Source organism: Homo sapiens, chromosome 2 (genome assembly GCF_000001405.40).
Source record: "Homo sapiens chromosome 2, GRCh38.p14 Primary Assembly".
NCBI classification, from domain to species: domain Eukaryota; kingdom Metazoa; phylum Chordata; class Mammalia; order Primates; family Hominidae; genus Homo; species Homo sapiens.
Genome location: NC_000002.12, coordinates 157,566,614 through 157,586,522, shown reverse-complemented (window position 1 = coordinate 157,586,522; position 19,909 = coordinate 157,566,614). Strand labels below are relative to the sequence as shown.

At 37.8% G+C, this 19,909-nt stretch overlaps 1 protein-coding gene across 4 annotated transcripts in view; it reads left to right on the top strand.

Annotated features, from left to right (window-relative positions):
- The window catches only part of ACVR1C (activin A receptor type 1C), a 102,098-nt gene that overhangs the window by 42,342 nt on the left and 39,847 nt on the right, over positions 1–19,909 (top strand). The window lies entirely within an intron of this gene.

Below are 19,909 nucleotides of genomic sequence, written 5' to 3'. Positions count from 1 at the left end.
GTAATTCTGAATTTAAAACTAGTTTATGATGTGAAAATAGTCCTGCTATTGAATTTCTTTAAGATTTTTAATATAACAATAATTTAATGATTATCAATACAGATGTATCTATAACAGAGATACATATATTTCCTTACAAATTAACATTTTAAGGCAATGTTATCCAATCTCAGGTGTTCATATGTCATCATATCAGTATACCACTAAAGTACTTTTTACCTATTTTTTAAATAAACTAACCACCTTTTAATTGAAAAACATTTATTTTATAAAATATAATATCACTACCACCAATTAAAAACCAGTGTACTTGCCCTAAATAGAAGATAACTATGTAAACAAACAAACAATGCTCCTGCATTTCAGTTAGGTATTTTGCATTTTCTCTTTTTTAAAAGAGAGAAGAAGTGTAAAAGACATATTAGCAGGAAAGGAGACTTTTTCTTACAAAATCCAAAAAAACTAAGAGAATAAGAGAAGGAATCATAATATGATTCAGTGTTATGTAATATCATGTTTGTTTGCCATCCCAATTCATCTCAGAAAAAAAACTCTTAAAGTAATTCCATGTACCAGCACTAGTACTTGTCCCAACCTTGGAAACACTGTTGTAAGGCATTATCATGTATATTGCAACCTCAAAAGTTATACTTGGCATATTTCATCCCTGAACACTACTTGCAGTCGTGGATTTTAGACCACACTTATTCTCTCTATCTCAGATGCCATAGACTTCCTTGCTTTGGTGGTGATCTGGGATCTATTATGGGCACTTGTTTCCTTATATTTTATCCCCCAGTTTATCTGTGCTCCAGAGACACCTTAAAGTGAAGTCTCCTTATGTTTAATGGTCTTCTCCATAGCCAAATACAAAGGATTTTAGGGGTAAAAAGGAGAGTCTCCTCTTTAGCTGTGGCAGTGACTTGTAATGTATCTTCCCAATAGTGAATGATCCTCAAGACTACATTCTTTGACTATAACAAAAGGTATTAGAGGGCAAGATGTCTCATATGCAATTGGGCAAATCAAGCGTACCTAATGCAGCTAGAATGTAGGTCCTTCCCAGCCCAACTGTAAGCTCTACCAAAGTACTGAGAGGTCTATATGTTCTACCCTTAAGTTAATCAGTAACCAGTCTTTCTTTTTCAAAAATCAACTGTATTAAGGTCTAATTTAGGTATAATAAAATGCACATGTTTTATTATTTATTTATTTATTTACAAAAAAATAGTTTCTTTATCGAGAATATGTGTGATGAACAGTGGGAGGACAGCAGGTGATTAGATCTGGGTAATTAGCATATTCATAATCTCAAACCTTTATCATTTAAAATGCACACATTTTAACTATGTAGTTTGATGAGTTTAGACACACACATATGCCCATGTAACCACCACCACATCTCCATTACCTCAAAATATTCTCAGTCCCACTTCCACCAGGGCTAGACCACTGATCTATTTTCTATCATTGTAGATGGGATTTATTTTTCCTAGAGTTTCCCATGAAAGGAGTCATTATGAAACATTTTTAAGAGGGGGAGGAACTGGCTTTCTTCAGTCAGCATAATGTTTTTGAGATTCATTCATGTTGCTGGGTTTATCAGTAGTTTACTCCTTTTATTGCTGAATAATGTCCCATTCTATGGATATATTACAATTTTAAAAAATCCATTCATCCATTGACGTGCATTCAGATTGTTTCCATGTGGGGCTGTTATTCGCAAAGCTGTTATGAGCATTCACGTACAAGTCTTTGGATACGTGCTTTTATTTCTCTTTGAAAATACCTGAGTGGAATTGCAGGGTCACATGATAAGTATATGCTTAACTTCATAGTCTCCCAAATAGTTTTCAGACTGCTTATAATATTTTATATCCCTAACAGAAATGTGTGATAGTTTCAGTTAGTACATATTCTTGCCAACACTTGGTATAATCAGTCTTTTTAATTTTAGTCATTCAAGTGGTTTTTGTATTGGTATTTTATTGTGGTTTTAATTTGCATTTCCCAATAATTAATAATGTTAAATTATTTTTCATATGCATATTGGTCATCATTTATGTATCTTCCTCTATAAAGTATCTATTTGAGTGTTTATTAAAAATTGAGTTTTTTTGGTCAGGTGTGGTGGCTCACGACTGTAATCCCAGCACTTTGGGAGGCCAAGATGGGCGGATCACAAGGTCGGGAGATCGAGACCATCCTGGCTAACCTGGTGAAACCCCATTTCTATTAAAAATACAAAAAAAATTAGCCGGGCATGGTGGTGGGTGCCTGTAGTCCCAGCTACTCGGAAGGCTGAGGCAGGAGAATGACGTGAACCCAGGAGGCGGGTTTTTTTTTTTTATCTTCTTCTGGTTGAATTGGAAGAGTTCTTTATATATTCTGAATACAAGTCCTTTATCAGATAGATAAATTGTGACTATTTTCTTCCATTCTGTGGTTTGCCATTTTGTTTTCTTGAAGGTATTTTTTACAGAGCACAAGGTTGAAATTTTGATGAAGTCTGATTTATCTTTTTAAAAAAATTATGATAGTTTACTAGTTTCATGTCCTGAGTTTTTGTCTACCCAAAATTCATATGTGTTTTTATGTTTTCTTCCAGAAGTTTTAATATTTCAGTTTTTACAATTAGTTTCAATCTTTGCATTCAGTTTCAACTTAATTTGTGTTATTATGTGAGGTTAAGGTGGAGTTTTATTTTTTCCATATGGATTTGAAGTTCTTCTAGCATCATTTATTGAAAGTCTATTCTTTACTCATTGAGTTATGGTGGCACTTTGGTTGAAAATAAAGTAACTTTATATATGTGGGTATATTTCTGGCCTCTTTCTTCTGTTCAGTTGTTCTATATGCCTTATACTATCGTCAAACTGTTTTGATTATTGTAGTTTTATAGTAAGTATTGAAATCAGGTTTTGTGAATTCTCCAACTTTGTTTTTCCAAATTGATTTGCCTATTATAAGTCCTTTGCATTTTTATTTAAATTTTATAATCCACTTGACAATTTCTACAAAAACACACGCTGAGATTTTGATTAAACTGAGTTGAATATATAGATTAATTTGCAGAGAATAATCATGTTCACAATATTGAACTTTTAATCCATGAACATAGTATTTTTTTTTCTTCACCTATTTAGTTCTCCAGTTACTCTTAGCAGTGCTTTGTAGTTATCAGAGAACAGGTCTTATAAATATTTTGTTGACTTTATCTCTAGTGCATGTTTTTGATGCTAGTGTGAATGGTATTTTTAATATCTCAATTTCTAAATGTTAATTGCTAGTATATGATAATAAAAGTAATTTTCCTCTTATTTTATTTATGATATCCTGAAAGCTTGTGAAAATAACTTATAGGCTGGGTGCAGTGGCTCATGCCTGTAGTCCCAGCACTTTGGGAGGCTACGGTGGGCAGATCACTTGAGGTTGGGAGTATGAGACCAGCCTGGCCAACATGGTGAAACCCCATTTCTACTAAAAATTAGTACGCGCCTGTAGTCCCAGCTACTTGGGAGGCTGAGGCGGGAGAATTGCTGGAACCCAGGAGGCAGAGGTTGCAGTGATCTGAGATCGTGCCACACTGCACTCCAGTCTGGGTGACAGAGTGAGACACTATTTCAGAAAAAAAGAAAGAAAGAAAAGAAAATAGCTTATATTAGTTCTAGTAGCTTTTTTCTAGATTCTTTGGCATTTTCTGCATACATAATCATCTTATCAATGAATATAGACCAATGTATATCTTCTGTTCTGATATATAGAAGATACAGAATTTTACTTCTTTTCCTTGCGTTTTTGCACTGGATGGGACAGCCAATATAATGATGAATAGGAGTGGTGAGAGTGAAGATCCTTGCCTTTTTCCTGATTCTAGGAGGAGTGCATTCATTCTTTTACCCTTAAGTATGATGTTAACTGTGGATTTTTTTGTAGATGCCTGTTATCAGTTGAGGGAATTTACTTGTATTCCTAGTTTGGTGAAAGTTTCTCTTTAAAATCTTGAATGGATATTAAATTTTTAAAAAGTAGCTTCATGAGTTTATTGAGATTATCATGTGATTTTTCTTTTTTAGTCTGTTCATATGATGGATTGCATTAATTGGTTTTCAAATGTTATCTATAATAGGGAAGATACGTGTTGTCTGGCCACTAATTAATGTCTACAAGAAATGCTACGGAACATTTAATTGAACTCAAGCTTGTTTTTAATTAAAAAAAAATTTTTTAAGGCAGTGTCTTGCTCCATGGCTCACTGCAGCCTTGAACTCCTGGGCTCAAGCGATCTTTCTACCTTAGCTTCTTGAGTAGGTGGGACTACAGGCACATGCCACCACATCTGGCTAATTTCAAAAAAAAAATTATTTTTTTGAGATGGGGTCCTACAATGTTGCACAGGCGTATCTTAAACTCATGGCCTTAAGCAGTCTTCCTGCTTCAGCTTCCCAAAGTGCTGGGATTACAGGCATGAGCCACTGTACCTGGCCAGATGCAAACCTTTTTATTTGAAAAAGTTGCGGACTTTCAGGCTGAGCACTGGATGATGAAGCTAGTGCCAACAACTCCACTGTTTCTGTGTCACCAGTGAGTGTGATTGACATCTCCCCCTCTGCCTGTAGGGATTTGTCAATTTCAAAGTGATCACAAAACAGGAAATATAGAAATGTACTCTGAAAAGTAGACAGTGTGATATTTCTACAGTACTTGATAGTCTGCATCATGTTCATGTACTACACAGTAGAAGAAAGGTCGGGAGGTGACCAGAAGAGGCCGGACAAAATCTCGGACTTCCCTTTACAGTTTCACCTGAAAGCCAAGTGGATCCTTGCCTCTCTGGCTCTTTCATCAGTCACCCCAGATGGTGGGGTCATTTCTGGGTAGCTGACTTGATGTAAGTGCAGTAACAGTCTCATGCTTCAGCTGGTCCTGTGTTCTGTACTTAGATCCTATTTGTTATGGTTGGGCCTTTGTTTTATTTTTTGTGTGTGTGACAAAATTTTTCTCCTGACTAGAGCTCATGACTCCCCTCCCGTCTCCCCCTAGTAGGTGTGTATCCTTACAGTGGTTTCTGTCTGTAAGCCCCCTAATCAGTCCCCCTCAATTCTCCTCACAATTCCTTCCTGATTTCATGTAATTTCGGCCTTCTGTCTCTATTCAACATGTCTCTTAAACCCTTTTTTTCATATTTTCAAAGTTTTGAATCTTTGATGATTTCAATATCTATAGTCTCTCTGGGTTTGGTTCTGCTGTTTTTGATTCTGCTGATTCATATTCTTGGTGACTTCTTTCCTTGTGTTTTTTAATGATTTATTTTATTGTGAGCTCATGGTCTTGGGAAACCTTATCTGAAGAAAACTTTTGAAGCCCGTATTTAAAATTTGTTCCTCCAGAGAAGATTTATATTAGCTTCTGCCAGCTTCTTGGGGGGTGTTACCAACCCAAAACCATTCAGTGTTTTGATTAGGTTTTTGGGGCCAAAGTAATAGAGTGAATTCTGACTCTAAGCCTGCCTGTAAGGGATACACACTTGTAGTGAGGAACTCTCAGATTGTTTTTTTGTCTTTTTTCTGCTTTACCCAAAGTTGGGCTTGAGACACACAAGCATATACCCTATCTGTCTCTGTAGAACTTTTTATTTTGTTGTCTTGTTTTGTTTTCATGGCAGTGCCATTCTTAGTTGTCTGATTTATGCAAGAATCGCTGATCTGACCTTTCACTGTTTCGGGAACCATATTTTATTTCCCAGCCTCGTGATACAGTGTGGTAAACTGAGCACTTCACCACCAAGAGCTGGCAGATGCCTCCAGGATCAAGGCAGCCACAGTGCTCAATCCCCTCTCTGGATTTGTACTTTATTCTTGGCTGTCGAGCAATTCATTTATTTTCGCACCAGCTTTATCATAAAATAGAAAAAAATTATTGATATTTTATTCAGCATTTTTATGTGTACTGTAGCAAGAAGGGTTTCTGTGGACATCTAAAGTGTAACTTGGCAAAAATGGAAATTCTAAGATAGTTTATTTTTGAAATGATGCTGGCATAATTATCTATCCATCTGGAAGAAAACAAGACTGTACCACAGTGTCATACCATATACAAAAATAAATTACAGCTTGATTAAATATCTAATTGTGAAATATAAAACAATTTAAATGTCAGAGAAAAATTTAGAAAAAAAGATTTTTTATGACTTTATAGTATGGAACTGTTCTTAAATAAGATAGGAAACCCAGCTGCTATAAAAGGAGAAGAAAGATATAATTGACTTGATGAAAACTAAAATAAAAATGAATGATAAAAGATAACATAAATAAAACCAGAAAACAATTTAAATATTGGGTAGAAATGTAGAAATACTTGTAGTATATATGACTGGAAAAAGATAACTATTTGAAAGATAAATAGCACGCGCACGTGTGTGCGTGCGCGCGTGTGTGTTTGTGTGTGTGTGTGTGTTAATTGCAAGACGGGGGTTGGGGAAGAGAGGGGGTGCGTGAGAGAGACTGAGAAAGGGGAAATGCTAAATGAAAAAGAATGAAAGGGCATAAACAAATTTTACAGAGGAGAAAATCCAAATGGTCAAATATTGAAAAGATGTTTAACCTCACTATTAGCTGGTATTCCATTTTTCCCACCTATTAGATGGGCAAAAGTTAAAAAAATGTATCAGCCAGGACATTTATAAATAAAAGTATCCGAAATTTAGATAATAATATCTTAATAAGGAAATTCAGTGACTCATATGACAAGAAATCTGGAAGTAGTCAGGGTCTATTGTTTGTTAATAAAGAGGCTTGACAATGTCACCAGCCTACTTCCATATTTCAGTACTTCCAATAACCAAGCATACAAGCATGTGAGGCAGTATGAATAAGGACAACAGGAAAGAGCATATACCAGAAACAGATGATGGCTTCACATATTGGAATTAACAGACAAAAATTATAGACCAAATATTTTCCAAATGTAAAGAAACAAAAGGCAAACTTGAAAATATTTTTAGAGAATAGGAAACCATTAAAAAGTGACCTAGCAGATTTAAACAAGCACAGAAGAAAACTCTTAAAATTAAAAATACAGTAACTAATTTACACAACTTAGGGATAGGTTTAAGAACAATTAGCATAAGAATGATTGAGGAGAGAAATAGGGGTCTTAAATACAGATCAGAAGAAATAATTTTGTATGCAGTATATAGAGAATACAAATGGAATATATGGAAGAGAGGATGACAAATAGAGGAAAGTGAAAGAAGAGTTAACACATGCTTTCACATACGAGTCCAAAAGAGAGGGGAGAGAAAATTGGGCAAAAGCAGTGTCTGCAAAGGTAACAGCTCAAAAATTTCCAGAATTGAGAAGAACGCCCTTCCCCAATCCCAAGAAAGTCAATGAATATCAATAGGACAAATAAAAAGACTTCCAAAGCTTAACACATTATAGTAAAACTACAGAACACCAAAGACAAAGGGAAGTCCTAAAAGTTGACAGAGGAAAAAAAGTTAATTAGAGCTGAATTTAATTTAATGTTAATCAATTTAATTGAATATAATGTTAAGTTCAATTTAACATTAAATTCAATTAAACTCAATTTAACATTAAATTCACCTAAAGAGATTAACATTAAATTCAGCTCCTTTGAATTGTCTTAATTAAATTCAATTAAGTTGAATTCAGTGTTAATCAATGAACATTTATTAACATGTTAACCCAGGTAGAATTAACATTGTCTTCTCAATAGCAAGAAGTGAAAAGAGAAACAGTGTAATTATATTTGCAATATTTTGAAAGAAAATAGCTAGCAACAGAATTCTATATCCAGCAAAAATATTTTTAAAGAAGGAGGGTAAGGAAGAGGCCCTTGTAAAGTAACAGAAATAGAGTGAGTTTGCTATTAGTGACCCCTTGATAAAGGAAATTCTGAAGGAGGTACTTCAGGCAGAAAGAAAGTAACATCAAAGTTCTGACATGCAAGGAGGAATGAAAAGCAAAGAAAATGAGAATATGTGACTAATTCTAAAGAACATTATTGACAATAACAGTAATAATCATATAGGGCTTTAAAAATATTAATATAAACCATTCAGTGTAATAATGACATACTGGATGTGTCAGGAGAGGGGCCAACGGAGTTAAAATGTTCTAAGGACCTTATTCTGTCTAGGAGAAGGGTAAAAGAATTTTTAAGCATTAATGCTTTAAAATGTGCCTGTTGTCATTTCTGTGTTACTTTTAAAAGAATAGAATGTAAGTATATTCTTTCTAATCTCCAGTACGGAAAAATGGAATAATAAAAACAAATCCAAAAAATGTCAGGAGGTCTGGGCATGGTGGCTCAAGCCTGCAATCCCGATGCTTTGAGAGGCCGAGGTGGGAGTGTTGCTTGAGCTCAAGAGTTTGAGATCAGCCTGGGCAACATGGCAAGACCCTGCTTCTACAAAAATTTTTTAAAAATTAGTCAGGCACGGTGGCATGTGCCTGCGATCCCAGCTACTTGGGAAGCTGAGGCAGGAGGGTTGCTTGAGCCCAGGAAGTCAAGGATGCAGTGAGCCGTGCTCACACCATTGCACTCCAACCTGGCTGCCACTGCACTCCAGCCTGGGTGGGAGCATGAGACCCTGTTTCCAAAACAAAAACAAAAACAAAAACAAAAAAACAAAAACAAAACAAACAGAAAAACCAAAAGAAGCCAAGAAAAGAGAGAAAAGGAAGCACACAGAAGATGTGACAAAGAGAAAGCACCCAAATATATCAGTAATAATTAAATGTAAATAATTTAATGTAGATAGACTCAGCATTCCAGTTAAAAAACAATGATTATCAGAGTGTAGAAAACAAATTCAATTAAATGTTTAAAATATGTATCTAAAATAAAGGTCTACAGAAATGTTGAAATTATTGTGATGGTAAATATATATCATACATATATTAAACAAACAAAAGTGTTAGTTTACTTAAATTAATAGAAGACAAAACAGAATTTAATGCAAAAAAATTACCAGAGTTTAAAAATATCACTTTTTAACATCTCAAGTTTCAGTTTACCAGGGATTTTTAAAGAAATCTAAATTTGTATGTACTTAAGAATGAAGTCTCAAAAATAAAGAAAATATTTACAGATCTATAAGGATAAATAGAGAAGTCCACAATCTCGGAGGGAGATTTCAGCATACCACTGTCTTGGTAATTGATATTACAGTAGATTTTTTTAAATTAGGAGAATATACAGGGTTGAAACAACATGATTTATGAACAACCTACTTTTTAGAAAATTATAATTTACTGAACCTGAATAGTCTTGCGATATTAAAGAACTTGAATCAGTTATAAAATGGGCAGTAAAAATATATTCTCATTAAGAAAATTTCAGGCCGGGCGCGGTGGCTCACGCCTGTAATCCCAGCACTTTGGGAGGCCGAGGCGGGTGGATCATGAGGTCAGGAGATCGAGACCATCCTGGCTAACAAGGTGAAACCCCGTCTCTACTAAAAAATACAAAAAATTAGCCGGGCGCGGTGGCGGGCGCCTGTAGTCCCAGCTACTGGGGAGGCTGAGGCAGGAGAATGGCGTGAACCCGGGAAGCGGAGCTTGCAGTGAGCCGAGATTGTGCCACTGCAGTCCGCAGTCCGGCCTGGGCGACAGAGCGAGACTCCGTCTCAAAAAAAAAAAAAAAAAAAAAAAAAAAAAAGAAAATTTCAAAGCCCAAAAGGCTCTACCAGAAAATTGTGCTAAACTTCCAGGAACAGGTAATTCTTACACAAACTCTTCCAAAGTGTAGACAAGGAGGAATCTCATTTTATGCATAAATTTGATATCAAAACCAAACAAAAACAGTATAGAAAAGGAAAAGTACAAGCCATTCTCATTCATGAACATATGTGCAAGCATCCTAACTTTGACCTGGAACCATATAGGAAATGATACTCTGGGAGCCATAGTTCAAGTTTACCCAAGTTGACAAGAAAATGATCAAGCACAATGATAGACTTATTTTTTTAAGGCAAAGAAATGATTATTCCAGGCTGGGCACATTGGCTCATGCCTGTAATCCCAGCACTTTGGGAGGCTGAGGCAGGCGGAATCCAAGGTCAAGAGATTGAGACCAGCCTGGCCAACATGGTGAAATCCTGTCTGTACTAAAAATACAAAAATTAGCGGGGCATGGTGGCTCATGCCTGCAGTCCCAGCTACTCAGGAGGCTGAGGCAGGAGAATTGCTTGAACCCGGGAGGTGGAGGTTGCAGTGAGCTGAGATTGCGCCATTGCACTCCAGCGTGGTGACAGAGTGAGACTCCGTCGCCAAAAAAAAAAAAAAAAAAAAGAAATGATTATTCCTCAAGCCACAATAATGGTTGCCTTGGGGGAAGGGATAAGGTTGTGATCATGTGGGGATTTCTCAGAATGGGGGTGCCAATGTTGAGCAGAGAGGGGATTTACATGGACATTTATAATTATTTGTTATCTTCTACCTATATATTGTACATAATTTTCTGTATATTCATTATATTTCACAACAAAAGAAGAATAAAACATCAAGTTTCAAAGTAATGTGTGAGTGTAGGTAAATCTGTGGAAGTTCACACATTCTGTTAATATCTGGAGTAGGTATTGGAGACAGCTGACAGGCAGAGGACATTCTTTAACTCTTCCCTTGTCAATTTGTATAGTGTCTGACTTGTTTTTTTGCACATATATTCTTTTTCTAATTAAAAAAACCGTAATGAGTCAAAAGTTAATATGACTACAAATAAGTGTATCAAAGACATCTGGTTTTCTTCCATACCCATTTCACGGGAGAACTTAGACTTTTTAGCTGGTTATGTGGCTGTCTACCTAACAGATAATATTTGCAGCTACTCTTGCAGCTAAATGTGGTAATATAACTGAGTTCTGGCTAATTAGATAAATGGCAGTGTTTGGAGGACTTTGGAGAAGACTCATTAAAACAGCACTGTTGGCCAGGCATAATGGTTCACACCTGTAATCCTAGCACTTTGGGAAGCCCAGGCAGGGGGATCTGTTTAGCCTAGGAGTTCAAGACCAGCCTTGGCCAGGTGGTGAAATTGCATCTCTACAAAAAATAAAGGAATTAGGCTGGGCGCAGTGGCTGAAGCCTGTAATCCCAGCACTTTGGGAGGCCAAGGTGGGTGGATCACCTGAGGTCAGGAGTTCGAGACCAGCCTGGCCAACATGGTGAAACCCTGTATCTACTAAAAATACAAAAATTAGCTGGGCATGGTGGCACATGCCTGTAATCCCAGCTACTCACTCAGGAGGCTGAGACAGGAGAATCGCTTGAACCCGGGAGGCGGAGGTTGTAGTAAGGCGAGATCGCACCATTGCTATCCAGCCTAGGTGACAAAAGCAAAACTCCGTCAAAAAAAAAAAAAAAAGAACTTGCCGGGTATGGTGGTGCACACTTGTAGTCCCAGCTACTTGGGAGGCTGAGGCAGGAGGATCCTTCAAGCCCAGAAGGCCAAGGCTGCAGTGAGCTATGATTGCACCAATATACTCTAGCCTGGGTGATAGAGCAAGACCCTGTCTCTTAAAAAAATTAAATAAAAAATACAAAACAGAATTGGCACATGAGTATACCTCCATCATCATGCTGCCTGGATGCAAAGGTTGGAGTTATAGCAGCTGCCTTGGATCATGAGGATGATGGTTTCACTGTAGGACAGCAACAAGGGAGCTGACAGGGGCCTGACTGAAAACTTTATGAAGCCATCCTGCTACTATTGGACTACCCATCTTCAGATCTCTTTCCCATGAGGGAGAAAAACAATTGATTTATTTGGTTTCCTTTGTTATTTGTAGTTAAACCCAATTCTAATTAACGTAAAAGCAGCAAAGCAAGTCATCCAGAGAGGCAGCAAAGCAAGTCTACCTGCCCATAGAAGGTAGAATTCATGTTTGTGGATCAAATAAAACCTGTCTATGAGATAGGCCCGTAGACAGGTTTTATTTGATCTACACAGTTTCTGGGAAAGAAAAATGAATTTGTTTACAATGTTAAACATTAAGAGTCTGCTATGGTCTAAATATGTTCCCCCTAAGTTCATATGTTGAAATTCTAACCTCTAAGGTGATAGTACTGGAAGGTAGCAGTCTTTTGACTTGATTAGGTCAGGAGGGTGGAGCCCTCATGAATGAGACTAGTGCCCTCATAAAATGGGTCCAAGGGAGCTCCTTTGCTCCCTCCACCATAAGAGGACACAGGGAGAAGGTGCCTTCTATGAACCAGAAAGCAGCCCTTCACCAAACATAGAATCTGCTGGCATGTTGATCTTAGACTTCCTAGCCTCCAGAACTATGAGAAATAAATTTCTGTTCTTTATAAGTTACCCAGTGTATGCTGTTTTACAGAATGGATGAAGATAAAGTCTTAATATAAAAATCCAGATTCCTGTCTGGTCTTGAAAATTCAGAAGATATGACATCCTTGAAGTCTCATGCTATCAGTTGGCCGAAGCTGAATAGTGACTGACTCTTCTGTGTCGGGCATGGGCTTTTCTTATTTATTTCATTCATTCATGATGTATTGTGCTTATATCCACTGGCCTAGAGTTCCCACTATCAATAGTTTAGTTATATTTTAGCATAGTTGAATTGTTCTGTTTAATACAATTTTGTATCTTACTTCCTTAATATTAGACAAGTATTTTTTTCCTATGTGAAGGAATCCCATTTTGTTGCTTGGTTCCTTTATGGCTGGGTTGTATTTTGGTTTGTGACAGAATTGATTTCTGTAGACTCTGGGTGATAGCAGAGTCATGCTCAGAGAAATAATGATGATGTCAAATAGCACCAAGAGCACCTTAATATTGTCCATGAAAATTCATCCAGAATAAGATCAGGAAGCCTGGGCTAGAGAAACTGGAACTTTTTAGGGTTAATTTTGATAAGAATTGCTACTTAGTTCATGCTTGCACTAATTACAGCCCTTCATATGGAAATAGACTATTCAACAGAAAAAAAAAAACCCTTCAAATTTCAGGTATCTTTGTTCCCATTTTGCTACCAAAACATACAGTGCTTAAAAGGGTAAGTGTAGTAATAATTTCTGATTTTTCCCTCCAGATTTCAATATACTATTTTAATAATGCCATTATATTTTTCACTAATTCAGATAATTACTTTAATAAAGAAAATATGACAAAACATTAAAATGTGGGTGCTTTATTAACTTCAATACAATTTCTGCCTTCCTGTTCTGTTCTGAATTGCGTAAAGAGGAAAAGGAAAATTGATAATTTAATCAATTGTGGTAGGTGTATAATACATATTGATTAGGCACATGTCTAAATTAGACTTTTTAAACCAAACCAAAGGTTTGCATTTGAAAGAAGATAAACTGCCAAAACATTAAAATCGAATTTATCAAAAACTAATAATTTTAAAGCAAACTGTAATTACAAGAATTGCAGACTCAGAAAGTGATTGTTATTCTTTTGGGAGTTTAAAAGTCTTGCTATTTTCGTTCCTCTTAAAAGACCCATTGTTGTTTCTTAACTTTCTTCTGGTTTTCTATTTGAGACATAAATTCATTGCTCTAGTCAGGAAAAGGTGACATGTGCATGCTGAGAAATACTCACTGGACCCCTTGTGGAATTGTTCTGCCATCACACGAACAAATCCATTTATAGCTCACTCTCTGGGGACACAGGGCACACCTGACAGGTGTGCCAGACAGGCTTTTTTCCCCCCTAAAATGAAAGGTGCTATGATTTTTATTGTTTGGAAAGTGCTCTGAAATATAAGCATCTAAAAGTCAGACTTGTGTTTTAAAGTTTAATATAGGAGGCATTTCTTGTCTCCAGAAACAAGTACACTGATTTACATTATGAAATTTTGTTCATAGAGATGTAATAGGAAATTGAAAGCAAAGTTTACAGCCAATTCTAAATTGAGGATTCCATATTAGATAAGGTTTTACTCTCTCAGTTATTTAAATACCATTACATTTTTACTCAAATATTTTTGAGGTGATTATTACGTATAGGACATTGAGCTATATGTAAGCTATATGTGAGCTAGGTCAAAATGTGATTATTTCACATCAGTTTTTTCCAAGTGAGCAAGCTGCTTTGTGTGAATATACTAGCTGTGGAGAAGTTATGCTAGCATAGACTTTTTTTTTTTTTTAATTTTTTTTTTTATTATACTCTAAGTTTTGGGGTACATGTGCACATTGTGCAGGTTAGTTACATATGTATACATGTGCCATGCTGGTGCGCTGCACCCACTAACATGTCATCTAGCATTAGGTATATCTCCCAATGCTATCCCTCCCCCCTCCCCCGACCCCACCACAGTCCCCAGAGTGTGATATTCCCTTTCCTGTGTCCATGTGATCTCATTGTTCAATTCCCACCTATGAGTGAGAATATGCGGTGTTTGGTTTTTTGTTCTTGCGATAGTTTACTGAGAATGATGGTTTCCAATTTCATCCATGTCCCTACAAAGGACATGAACTCATCATTTTTTATGGCTGCATAGTATTCCATGGTGTATATGTGCCACATTTTCTTAATCCAGTCTATCATTGTTGGACATTTGGGTTGGTTCCAAGTCTTTGCTATTGTGAATAGTGCCACAATAAACATACGTGTGCATGTGTCTTTATAGCAGCATGATTTATAGTCCTTTGGGTATATACCCAGTAATGGGATGGCTGGGTCAAATGGTATTTCTAGTTCTAGATCCCTGAGGAATCGCCACACTGACTTCCACAATGGTTGAACTAGTTGACAGTCCCACCAACAGTGTAAAAGTGTTCCTATTTCTCCACATCCTCTCCAGCACCTGTTGTTTCCTGACTTTTTAATGATTGCCATTCTAACTGGTGTGAGATGATATCTCATAGTGGTTTTGATTTGCATTTCTCTGATGGCCAGTGATGATGAGCATTTCTTCATGTGTTTTTTGGCTGCATAAATGTCTTCTTTTGAGAAGTGTCTGTTCATGTCCTTCGCCCACTTTTTGATGGGGTTGTTTGTTTTTTTCTTGTAAATTTGTTTGAGTTCATTGTAGATTCTGGATATTAGCCCTTTGTCAGATGAGTAGGTTGCGAAAATTTTCTCCCATGTTGTAGGTTGCCTGTTCACTCTGATGGTAGTTTCTTTTGCTGTGCAGAAGCTCTTTAGTTTAATTAGATCCCATTTGTCAATTTTGTCTTTTGTTGCCATTGCTTTTGGTGTTTTGGACATGAAGTCCTTGCCCATGCCTATGTCCTCAATGGTAATGCCTAGGTTTTCTTCTAGGGTTTTTATGGTTTTAGGTCTAACGTTTAAATCTTTAATCCATCTTGAATTGATTTTTGTATAAGGTGTAAGGAAGGGATCCAGTTTCAGCTTTCTACATATGGCTAGCCAGTTTTCCCAGCACCATTTATTAAATAGGGAATCCTTTCCCCATTGCTTGTTTTTCTCAGGTTTGTCAAAGATCAGATAGTTGTAGATATGCGGCATTATTTCTGAGGGCTCTGTTCTGTTCCATTGATCTATATCTCTGTTTTGGTACCAGTACCATGCTGTTTTGGTTACTGTAGCCTTGTAGTATAGTTTGAAGTCAGGTAGTGTGATGCCTCCAGCTTTGTTCTTTTGGCTTAGGATTGACTTGGCGATGCGGGCTCTTTTTTGGTTCCATATGAACTTTAAAGTAGTTTTTTCCAATTCTGTGAAGAAAGGCATTGGTAGCTTGATGGGGATGGCATTGAATCTGTAAATTACCTTGGGCAGTATGGCCATTTTCACGATATTGATTCTTCCTACCCATGAGCGTGGAATGTTCTTCCATTTGTTTGTGTCCTCTTTTATTTCCTTGAGCAGTGGTTTGTAGTTCTCCTTGAAGAGGTCCTTCACATCCCTTGTAAGTTGGATTCCTAGGTATTTTATTCTCTTTGAAGCAATTGTGAATGGGAGTTTACTCATGATTTGGCTCTCTGTTTGTCTGTTGTTGGTGTATAAGAATGCTTGTGATTTTTGTACATTGATTTTGTATCCTGAGACTTTGCTGAAGTTGCTTATCAGCTTAAGGAGATTTTGGGCTGAGACGATGGGGTTTTCTAGATATACAATCATGTCGTCTGCAAACGGGGACAATTTGACTTCCTCTTTTCCTAATTGAATACCCTTTATTTCCTTCTCCTGCCTGATTGCCCTGGCCAGAACTTCCAACACTATGTTGAATAGGAGCGGTGAGAGAGGGCATCCCTGTCTTGTGCCAGTTTTCAAAGGGAATGCTTCCAGTTTTTGCCCATTCAGTATGATATTGGCTGTGGGTTTGTCATAGATAGCTCTTATTATTTTGAAATACGTCCCATCAATACCTAATTTATTGAGAGTTTTTAGCATGAAGGGTTGTTGAATTTTGTCAAAGGCTTTTTCTGCATCTATTGAGATAATCATGTGGTTTTTGTCTTTGGCTCTGTTTATATGCTGGATTACATTTATTGATTTGCGTATATTGAACCAGCCTTGCATCCCAGGGATGAAGCCCACTTGATCATGGTGGATAAGCTTTTTGATGTGCTGCTGGATTCGGTTTGCCAGTATTTTATTGAGGATTTTTGCATCAATGTTCATCAAGGATATTGGTCTAAAATTCTCTTTTTTGGTTGTGTCTCTGCCCGGCTTTGGTATCAGAATGATGCTGGCCTCATAAAATGAGTTAGGGAGGATTCCCTCTTTTTCTATTGATTGGAATAGTTTCAGAAGGAATGGTACCAGTTCCTCCTTGTACCTCTGGTGGAATTCGGCTGTGAATCCATCTGGTCCTGGACTCTTTTTGGTTGGTAAACTATTGATTATTGCCACAATTTCAGAGCCTGTTATTGGTCTATTCAGAGATTCAACTTCTTCCTGGTTTAGTCTTGGGAGAGTGTATGTGTCGAGGAATGTATCCATTTCTTCTAGATTTTCTAGTTTATTTGCGTAGAGGTGTTTGTAGTATTCTCTGATGGTAGTTTGTATTTCTGTGGGATCGGTGGTGATATCCCCTTTATCATTTTCTATTGTGTCTATTTGATTCTTCTCTCTTTTTTTCTTTATTAGTCTTGCTAGCGGTCTATCAATTTTGTTGATCCTTTCAAAAAACCAGCTCCTGGATTCATTGATTTTTTGAAGGGTTTTTTGTGTCTCTATTTCCTTCAGTTCTGCTCTGATTTTAGTTATTTCTTGCCTTCTGCTAGCTTTTCAATGTGTTTGCTCTTGCTTTTCTAGTTCTTTTAATTGTGATGTTAGGGTGTCAATTTTGGATCTTTCCTGCTTTCTCTTGTAGGCATTTAGTGCTATAAATTTCCCTCTACACACTGCTTTGAATGCGTCCCAGAGATTCTGGTATGTTGTGTCTTTGTTCTCGTTGGTTTCAAAGAACATCTTTATTTCTGCCTTCATTTCGTTATGTACCCAGTAGTCATTCAGGAGCAGGTTGTTCAGTTTCCATGTAGTTGAGCGGCTTTGAGTGAGATTCTTAATCCTGAGTTCTAGTTTGATTGCACTGTGGTCTGAGAGATAGTTTGTTATAATTTCTGTTCTTTTACATTTGCTGAGGAGAGCTTTACTTCCAACTATGTGGTCAATTTTGGAATAGATGTGGTGTGGTGCTGAAAAAAATGTATATTCTGTTGATTTGGGGTGGAGAGTTCTGTAGATGTCTATTAGGTCTGCTTGGTGCAGAGCTGAGTTCAATTCCTGGGTATCCTTGTTGACTTTCTGTCTCGTTGATCTGTCTAATGTTGACAGTGGGGTGTTAAAGTCTCCCATTATTAATGTGTGGGAGTCTAAGTCTCTTTGTAGGTCACTGAGGACTTGCTTTATGAATCTGGGTGCTCCTGTATTGGGTGCATAAATATTTAGGATAGTTAGCTCCTCTTGTGGAATTGATCCCTTTACCATTATGTAATGGCCTTCTTTGTCTCTTTTGATCTTTGTTGGTTTAAAGTCTGTTTTATCAGAGACTAGGATTGCAACCCCTGCCTTTTTTTGTTTTCCATTGGCTTGGTAGATCTTCCTCCATCCTTTTATTTTGAGCCTATGTGTGTCTCTGCATGTGAGATGGGTTTCCTGAATACAGCACACTGATGGGTCTTGACTCTTTATCCAACTTGCCAGTCTGTGTCTTTTAATTGCAGAATTTAGTCCATTTATATTTAAAGTTAATATTGTTATGTGTGAATTTGATCCTGTCATTATGATGTTAGCTGGTGATTTTGCTCATTAGTTGATGCAGTTTCTTCCTAGTCTCAATGGTCTTTACATTTTGGCATGATTTTGCAGCGGCTGGTACCGGTTGTTCCTTTCCATGTTTAGCGCTTCCTTCAGGAGCTCTTTTAGGGCAGGCCTGGTGGTGACAAAATCTCTCAGCATTTGCTTGTCTATAAAGTATTTTATTTCTCCTTCACTTATGAAGCTTAGTTTGGCTGGATATGAAATTCTGGGTTGAAAATTCTTTAAGAATGTTGAATATTGGCCCCCACTCTCTTCTGGCTTGTAGGGTTTCTGCCGAGAGATCCGCTGTTAGTCTGATGGGCTTTCCTTTGAGGGTAACCCGACCTTTCTCTCTGGCTGCCCTTAACATTTTTTCCTTCATTTCAACTTTGGTGAATCTGACAATTATGTGTCTTGGAGTTGCTCTTCTCGAGGAGTATCTTTGTGGCGTTCTCTGTATTTCCTGAATCTGAACGTTGGCCTGCCTTGCTAGATTGGGGAAGTTCTCCTGGATAATATCCTGCAGAGTGTTTTCCAACTTGGTTCCATTCTCCACATCACTTTCAGGTACACCAATCAGACGTAGATTTGGTCTTTTCACATAGTCCCATATTTCTTGGAGGCTTTGCTCATTTCTTTTTATTCTTTTTTCTCTAAACTTCCCTTCTCGCTTCATTTCATTCATTTCATCTTCCATTGCTGATACCCTTTCTTCCAGTTGATCGCATCGGCTCCTGAGGCTTCTGCATTCTTCACGTAGTTCTCGAGCCTTGGTTTTCAGCTCCATCAGCTCCTTTAAGCACTTCTCTGTATTGGTTATTCTAGTTATACATTCTTCTAAATTTTTTTCAAAGTTTTCAACTTCTTTGCCTTTGGTTTGAATGTCCTCCCATAGCTCAGAGTAATTTGATCATCTGAAGCCTTCTTCTCTCAGCTCGTCAAAATCATTCTCCATCCAGCTTTGTTCTGTTGCTGGTGAGGAACTGCGTTCCTTTGGAGGAGGAGAGGTGCTCGGTGTTTTAGAGTTTCCAGTTTTTCTGTTCTGTTTTTTCCCCAACTTTGTGGTTTTATCTACTTTTGGTCTTTGATGATGGTGATGTACAGATGGGTTTTCGGTGTAGATGTCCTTTCTGGTTGTTAGTTTTCCTTCTAACAGACAGGACCCTCAGCTGCAGGTCTGTTGGAATACCCTGCCGTGTGAGGTGTCAGTGTGCCCCTGCTGGGGGGTGCCTCCCAGTTAGGCTGCTCGGGGGTCAGGGGTCAGGGACCCACTTGAGGAGGCAGTCTGCCCGTTCTCAGATCTCCAGCTGCGTGCTGGGAGAACCACTGCTCTCTTCAAAGCTGTCAGACAGGGACACTTAAGTCTGCAGAGGTTACTGCTGTCTTTTTGTTTGTCTGTGCCCTGCCCCCAGAGGTGGAGCCTACAGAGGCAGGCAGGCCTCCTTGAGCTGTGGTGGGCTCCACCCAGTTCGAGCTTCCCTTCCCGGCTGCTTTGTTTACCTAAGCAAGCCTGGGCAATGGCGGGCGCCCCTCCCCCAGCCTCGTTGCCGCCTTGCAGTTTGATCTCAGACTGCTGTGCTAGCAATCAGCGAGACTCCCTGGGCGTAGGACCCTCTGAGCCAGGTGTGGGATATAGTCTCGTGGTGCGCCGTTTCTTAAGCCGGTCTGAAAAGCGCAATATTCGGGTGGGAGTGACCCGATT